This window comes from Homo sapiens, chromosome 5, assembly GCF_000001405.40.
Source record: "Homo sapiens chromosome 5, GRCh38.p14 Primary Assembly".
NCBI lineage: Eukaryota > Metazoa > Chordata > Mammalia > Primates > Hominidae > Homo > Homo sapiens.
The window spans coordinates 93,295,882-93,304,598 of record NC_000005.10 but is presented as its reverse complement, the minus strand read 5'-3'; the positions used below and the strand labels follow the sequence as shown (position 1 = coordinate 93,304,598).

Below are 8,717 nucleotides of genomic sequence, written 5' to 3'. Positions count from 1 at the left end.
TGTCTTTCTCTAACATTATCAGCCCTTCCCATACCCCTCAACCCCTAACTATACCAAGCCTTGGGCGATGGTTTTGGGTTGAGGGTCACAGAGGTCATGGATTTTCCACTCAAAGAAAGAAAGAAAAAAGGGCAAAAGAAATGATCACTTTTGCTCTCTCTTTTGCCCTTGGTGCTGAGAAATTCATTTGTGAGTACCCTAGCAAGCATGGTTACTGTGGGTTTGAAACAAGCATAGTACTCACCACAAGAGATGCCATAATAATGCTGCTTAGGATAAAAGAGTGTATTTATATTTGTCTGGACTCATGTTTTAAGAACATTTCATGTGCATGGTTAGAGTACCTAAGTAGAATTTTGAGCTTGTCCTTCTGATCTATTTCCCAAACATGGAGAAAATAACGGGGAGTGCAAACAACATAGATTTTGGAGGCAGTTTTTGGATTTGAATCCTGGCTTTCCAACCACTTAATCTTCCTGAGTGTCCGTATTCTCTGTTACCAAATAGGGAAAACAGCAACTGATATAACAATAATTAGAACAATAGTTACCATTAGTCAAACAATTATTATATGCTGGGCAATCTGCTAAGTACTTGTATGTATTATTCTAAACCCTGTACAACACTAGGTAGTAGCATTATTATCCCCATTTTATGGATGAGGAGACTGAGGTAAGGAAATGTTAAATTACTTCTAGGCCACTTAGGTAAGAAGTGAAGATGGGTTTTGTCTAATTCCAAAGCCCAGTTTTTGAAACGTTATACCAGATGGACATGAGTTTTAAATGATACAACAGAGTATCAGAAATATAGGAAGGGGACATTCTTTTATTTTGTTTTGAGTTGTTTTAAGGTTAGAAATTTCAGGAAGCATAAGACAGCTCCATTTCCTGCTTTGGCGTCTTTGGAATTTTCTCTACTTATCTCCTGTATGTGGGCACAGACTGGATCACAAGACGGTGGCTGAAGGCTGTGACCTAGACCATGGGAGATAGCCAGTCAATTACCAGCTCTATTTCTTTGACCACATAAAAAAATGTGGTAAACTGTCTGGAAAATACCACAACAAACTGCAACTGGGGCACTGCCTTGTCTCAGATCAAAGATTGTAAGAGGATGTTGTGCCCCGAAGGAAGGAATACTCAGAGGGTGGAGGGTGGAGAAGGGGATGGGATTGAGACCAGAAACATCCCCGCCGTCAATTACTCTTCATTATGTCCCTAATGGAAGCCACAGAAGCTTACAGTGACTATTGCAGAAAAGCCACATAATTATAGAGCAGCAGTCTTGTGGCTTCCATGTGTGTTTTTGTGATCCTAGGCTGTATCTAGCCCACGTGCTAATTTCTACCTGCTGAATACAATTTGGTTTGCAATAAGCGATGCTTTCGAGAACTTTCTCAGCAACTCATCTTAAGGCAGGATTTTTGTCTAAACCACGTGAAGCCAGAGAATTCTCACAAACATCTGATGGGTATGTTTTGCTTAAGGAGAATAATGAGACTTCTGCAGAAAAAGTCGTCTGAAATGAACTGTGGCAAGTGCTTTAGGTATGTCTGTAAATTTGGGCTTCTGCGAATTTAGTTATGCCTTTTAGATCACAGTTTGTGAAATCACAGTGGGTTTTTTTTCCCTGAGGTTTCAGGATGTTTTTGATGATTTCATGACCTTTTCCCTAAATAGCACCTATTACTTTGATACAGAATTTTTGAAGTGCTTCACAATCTTTTGCTATTCCCTGGGGTCTAGGCCAACATTCTTATCGTCTCTATTTTAAGATGAAACACAGAGAGTTTAAGTGACTTGCCCATGGGCTCCCAGCAAGTGGGTGTCTGTGCTGGACACAAATTTCTTAAGCTTTTGGCTTTAGATGAGTTCACTGAGCTACGTATTTCCCCCAGCAATTATTTATACACATTATGTGTCTGACCTGGATATGCTGGTGCTTATTTTCCATTTGCATAATGAGGAATACATCAGGCATCCAAGAAGGAAGGTGGCCTCAACATAAGGGGCTGAGTCCTAATGTGGACCTGGCTTTCTAGGTTCAGGGAGGGTCAGGGAGCACGGGCACCTTGTACTTGGCGCAGGACTGGAATTGAGCATTCTGGGTAGAATCTAGTCAGAGCGAAGTGAAGCCCATGAGCTGGCTATGCCTCCAGACAGAAAAGCAGAGGGGTCGTTTTCTTGCTGGGTCTTTCCAAATGTAAAATACAGTTCAACTGTGGAATCCTTTTCTACCTTTTAGGCAACCAGAGAGGGATCTTTGAGAAATACTGTGGGTAATGAAGCTTATATTCAGGTACAACAACAAATATAGGATCTAGGTGAGGAGAGAAACCTGTTTTTTGTTGTTTGTTTTTGTTTTGCCTCTTGAACTCAGGAGGATACATCATAAAGGGTATTTTTAAAAATATGCAGGGATAATTAAATATCATAGTTTGATAAGTTATTTCTTTTTAATTGACTTTTATTAATCATTTTTTAGATTATAAAATGATCTTGTCCTATTATAAGCTAATTCAATAAACTTTAGGAAATATAAGTAGAGACAATAAAATACAATCACCCTGAATTTCACAACTCAGGGGTAACCTTTATTAACATTTTGGCATATTTTTCTCTTTTTTAAAAAATATGCCTCACTTTGCATCAGGCTCTGTTAACAAAAAGGTGGGGGAGCTGACTTTTTTCTTTTTGACAATAATTATATATTTAAATAAATTATATAATTTATTACCTATTTTATATACACATAGGATTATACTATGCATATTGCCTTATAACCTGCTTTATAAACTTACATTTAATATATTTTGAATATCTTCTCTCGTTATTAGTCTTCCCCAGTATCATTCCTGATGACTGCATAGCACTTCATTGCATAATCGTGTCATCATTTGTTTAACCAGTTCCTCATTGCTAGATATTTATGTTGTTTCCAAGTTTTCCAGGTTATAGACAAGCTATGATGAAGATGTAAATCTTACTTATAACAGCATCAGATCATATATTTTATCTGTATCTTCTGGAAGACCTGAAACATAAGGTTGTCAGCAATATTAATGCTGTATTAATCTTTTAACAGGAAAACTTGAGATGAAGAAATGGCTTTGAGTCTAGCCAGGGCTAAGGTGATAATATGTCAAACAGTAAAGTGCTCATTCTCATTGACTAGAAATGCAGACAAACTCAATAAGCTAAGAGCCATATGTGGCTAAGGAAATATATTTCTCATATAGCAGACTAGATAATGGTAGACTAGTATTTAATTAAGATACTGAATACAACCCTTAACAAGTGTTAAAAAGTAGGTAACTTATTTGTATACATTTGAAGTGTGCTGAAGTAGTTGTCAGGACATAAATGTTTCAGTTCAGTCATCTTTGAAGTGGCCTTCTCAAGGCACATTTCCAAACTAAAAACCAAACTAAACAAACAGAAAACCCCCAACTCCCAAACAATAACTACCAGCACAAAACCTCCCAAAACTCCACATTTTGTTTCCTTCATTTGATTTTCCATTAGTAAGATCTGATTCTACCTTTAAAAATTCTGTAGATCTCACTAAATGTTTTTAGAAAGATCAAGTTACCTCATGCAATTTTTTCTTGTATAGGTCTGTATTGCTAAAGAAACACACTTTTTTTTGTATCATTTATTTTAAGCTGAAACACTTTTGTGAACATTAAAAGAAGCCTATTTAAATTTTACCCATTCTTACCTCAGCTTTTTTTTTCTCTCCAGATTATTATTATTATTATTATTTTTTGCACATATATTTTCTCTGACTTTCAAGCCAGGACTGATGATGACTTGACTGGCAGACATGAATGTCTGGGCTGAAGAGACGTGATCTTAGCAAATTGCAGCAATTCTATAGACTGAAGCAATCAAAAGCATGCATTTTTGACAACTCGGACATTTATAGTTTGTATCTTCTATACCAGGACCCAGAAGTGACATAATGATGTCAGCTTTCCCCCCAGATAGTTTGGATGGCTCTGTGAACATGGTTAGAGAATACCATGTTTTGTTTTCCTTCTCCTTGGGGTGACCATTGTCTCCCGTTAGTCCTGTGCTCAGTGAGTCATTAATTAAACCCAGAATCTTTATAAGTGACCTGTTGCGGCATTGAGGTTTATTCCCAACTTATTCTGCTTCACCGCATAATATTCGGTCAATGTGCCTTGTTTTTATTTTTTAAAAATTTCGCTTGTTCTTCCTTACACCACGAGGATTCATTTTTGAGATGGAGAGCAAAAGGCTAGGTTAAGAAAAACATAGCCACCTCCAGAGTGCAAAAACTGCAATAAACCCATCACCTCTAACAACAGCAGAGCATGAAAAGATAAAAAACAGCCTGCCAAGAATGTAGTAACCACCCATTCACTTTTAAATGCTCTCCACACTTCAATGCACAGACCTAATTACTTTTCTGCATTCCCAAATCCACTTTGCCCATACTGCAATCAGAAACCTGGCGTTAAAATATTTTAGACTTGGAGGATCAAGACTAATTACGGGCCTTAGCTGCACCTTTTGGTTTTTCTCCCCCGTTCCCCCTCCTCTTCTTTGGGTTACTTTAAAGCACGCTCCACTGGAAGAAAGGCTGCCCAGTCCCAGTGGGGGGTGAAGCAGAGAGAGAATAAAACAAAGAACAACTCAACTCAATTCAGTAAGCTTCAATGAAGCTGGTATATTTAATGTGAGCCCAGGGTTAGCCCACAGAATTGTGGCAGAATGCAATATTCTCAACAAAAAAAGATGTGTTTAAGGTCGGGTAAGGCCCCATAAGGCTGTTGTTGGTGTTTAAGCAGTCCACTGAGGTATTTAGCACCAAGGGTTTCTAAACATTCCAGCTGAGAATTAAACCGCAGCTTTACAGTAGCTGCTTAAAGGTTTGGGGGGCTGGGAGCGTCCCCTCCCCCTTGTATTGAAAGGTCAACAAACAGTAGGAAAGATCATGTCATAACAAAGATGAAGTCACCTATTATTGAGTATAGTGACAGCTAATAGCACTATCAGAGGAACTAATCCAAGGTATTAAATAGTGTAATTGTTAAAATAATATCATGGTTATTAGAACACCCAAGCATGAGACGTTCTTCATGTTACGTAACATGAAAGTTTTACAGGTGAGCTTAACTTTCCTGTGACAGGCACTTGCTATAAATATGTAAATATTAGAAAATTGCCTCCGTACTACAATTTTCCTGTAGCATACAGAATGCATTTTTGATATGCAGATGTAATGTTTCATGGCATTTACTAAACTACTTTTGGGTAATTATGCCAAGACTTACACTCTTAAAAAGCTTTCATTCACACAAAATAATTTACTGTGAAAGTTGGTGTTAATGTTTTACTTTGTTCAAGCATTTTTAGTTTCACGGATTTAATAAGACAAATACACACAAAAAAGCACAGTTTCTCGAAGATGAATTCCTGAAACAGCTAAGGGAGGCTGAATGCTGATAGAATTAACTTCATGGAAATTTCAGCTCTAAGTTTGAATTCCAGTGTTATGAAACTAGATCTGGGCATAGATATCAGGTTTATAGAACTATTATTCAGAATATTAGGAAGAAATGTGGTCACCTTGAAGGAGTACAAATGTCACAAAAACAGAGGAAACCTCAACATCAACTACCAAAATTCTTCTCTATTTCTTTTAGTTTCCACTAGTAAAGAATCCAGATCACAAGTTGTGTTGTAGGAGATGGTTAAAACCAATAGGATGCTTCAGGTAGTCAGAGCTTGCAGGACACTTAAAAAAAACAATGCAGGTCGGACGCGGTGGCTCACGCCTGTAATCCCAGCACTTTGGGAGGCCGAGGCAGGCTGATCACGAGGTCAGGAGATCGAGACCATCCTGGCTAACAGGGTGAAATCCCGTCTCTACTAAAAATACAAAAAATTACCCGGACGTGGTGGCGGGCGCCTGTAGTCCCAGCTACTCGTGAGGCTGAGGCAGGAGAATGGCGTGAACCCAGGAGGCACAGCTTGCAGTGAGCCGAGATTGTGCCACTGTACTCCAGCCTGGACGACAGAGTGAGACTCCATCTCAAAACAAAAACAAAAACAAAAAACAAAGAAAAGATGCAAGGGGCACATCCATTGGCTCACAACTACCAATTAACCCTTCTTGTTATATAGGTAATTTATTCCTCTCAAAGGCATTAAATATCAGAGAAATCACAGGCCAAAACAGTAATTATCTGCAGGGAATCCAAAGGCTTGAAAGCCAATAATTCTGAAAAAATAAAAACAGAGTTCTTTTCACTGTATAGACTTCATCTTAAAACCTATAATAAGAGCCAGACACTGGCTGTGAACCTTTAAACTTCAAGGTTAAAAAAGAGGTTGCAGAAGGCAAAGACAATAATCATGGGCTTTCTACATAAAACTCTCTGGAAGTGGAGGTCAAAGACCAAACATTCTGAGCACCCGCTCTATTGCACAGTGTCCTGATCCAACGTGGAAATGAAGGCTGGATTGACCAAAAGTGGGAATGGGGGAAAATATTAAATTATGGAGCTAAAGAATATGACAATAAACTCCATTTAAAAAGCCTAGCAGTTTAATTTGAATTTTTAAAGCTTGAGTGAAATAAAATAATCTTTTCTTGGATAAAAAAGTAATCACAGAATTTCTTAAATGTCATGGCAAACTCTTCTTAAGAAAAGCATTTATTCTTAACATCTCATCTCCTTTATGCTACATTCATATTTTATAAGGTCTAGTCTTGGAAATCTATAGCTAGTGGATTTGGGTATTGAATATTTGACAATGATGCTCTCTTTTAATTGTACTTTCTCTTAATTGTACCCTCATTTTTTTTTTTACCTTTTTCTATGTTTTTGCTGTATTAAAAAGAAAAAAAAATGAAGGCCCTAACTCAACCCTGTAATAAATCATTTAAGTTTTATCTAGATATTCCTAGTAGAAATGTACTAGCATTTTGTGTTTCCACCCTTTCAACTCATGGCTTCTTCATATTCTGTAGGGGGTCTTGACTTTTACACATTTACTACCAGTTTCATAGAAATTCATAGTGGTAACACCTACTTTTCACTTAACAAGGTCAAGGCACAAATCCACATGCCTAATTTAAATGATTCCCTTCTTTTTTTTTGCATCATTATAAATCCATACCAGATGTTAGGGAAGAAAGAACGTAATTCCCTGTAGTTCAGTTGCTCTAACTACCTCTGATGATTCTCTTGTGGACTTGGGAGACCAGATTTGTGTTTTCTATAGTAAGCTTTCCCAATGCAATAGAACTTTCCAAGATTTCTGTTTTTGTCCTAAGTTAGGTTAATGTTAGAATTGGACGCAGCTGCTGTCCATGACAATCTAAGATACCAAATCAGGTCACTTTGCAGACTGAATAAGAATAAGGTTCTTGGGTGATGTTTGAGGACAGTTGACAAATTTATGTACAAGTAATTGTGCAGCCCAGCTGCCATCCAGCAGTGACTTAGTGGACACCTCCTGGTATGTCCAAGGGGTTCCAACTCCAAGAGATTGGGCTAGATCACTTTGATGCTCCCTTCCAATGCTGAATGTAGTGCTATAATCTGTCCAACTTAGATCAAGGCATTTTATTATACTTAAGAGAGCACTTTATTTTCTGACTTTAGGTGTGTAACAAAATTCTTAAATTACATTTATTTTAGTAATTAAATATAAAATTGCCTGTATCTCAGCTGGCAGGAATATTAAAATTCTCATACAGCCAATGCTGAAGTGCCATTTTTAGCATTTCAAATCACTTAACACATTTTAATTCTCTCATGTGTTCCTTTTTCAGGGGTTTCAGCAGAGAAATAGTGGCTACTCCTATTCAAAAATGGAAAGCAAGAGCATAGATAATGAGAATGCTCCTCATAGCCTGCCTGCTCCTCAGAAGTCAGATACTGAACATTTTGTTATGTTAACTAAAACAGAACAAGAGATGAACAAAATGAAACTCCTCTTGTCGACTTGTGGACAGGTAGAACATCTCAGTGGCCATTTAAGCTACTTAGTCAAATGACTCACTTTCTACCCTTTTCTCTAAGTTGGTGACTCTCATCTTTCTATTTTCATTCCTGCCCAAAGGTTGAATCATTTTGTACAACTCTCTGCAGCACATTGTTACTTGTATGTCCTAGTGTCACATGGAGCTCAATAAACTTAGAATTAAACTCATTCTGTTTCTCCGTTTGGCACCTCCACTGGGGTGTTTATTTCCTTCCAACTCAAAGGTTTTGCTGGTTTCTGTCCCAGATCTGGATGCCCATCTTCCTTCCTGGCTCAGCACTTACAATTATCAGCAGTATTGCCATTGTCTAAGTTTCCCACATTCAAAGCCCTGAAGGCATTTTTAACTCATTGCTTCCCTTCATGCTTCAAATTATTATGTTCTGAAAATTTTTCCTTTAGAGTTAGTGCTGTGATGTTGTTCCTTTCTGTTCCACAGTAATCAGACAGCCCCAGACACTTGTCATCCCTTACCTGAATTAATGCAGCAGTCTTCCAGAAGTTCTCTGTCTGCCTCTCCCCTCTCTAATTCTGCTGCTAAACAAATGTTTGTAACACCCACTCCTCTGCTCAAAAGCCTGCAATGGCTGTAAATTTCCCAATATCGTGCCTAAACTCTGCTGCTTGAGTTTCTTCCTCCATCTTAATTCTGGAATCATCTTTACCAGGATACCCAAGTCTTATTGCTGT

General features: G+C 37.9%; 2 annotated features.

The window, feature by feature from the left end:
• Nucleotides 3,829-5,603: an enhancer, noted in NCBI's record as "VISTA enhancer hs1172". NCBI's record gives its function as "enhancer in: forebrain[9/11] | eye[9/11]" and the evidence as "EXISTENCE:transgenic organism evidence [ECO:0001131][PMID:17130149]".
• Nucleotides 4,305-5,012: an enhancer, noted in NCBI's record as "OCT4-NANOG hESC enhancer chr5:92635293-92636000 (GRCh37/hg19 assembly coordinates)". NCBI's record gives its function as "activates a minimal SCP1, AML or CMV promoter by ChIP-STARR-seq in naive H9 embryonic stem cells {active_cell/tissue: H9 hESC(naive)}" and the evidence as "EXISTENCE:reporter gene assay evidence [ECO:0000049][PMID:30033119]".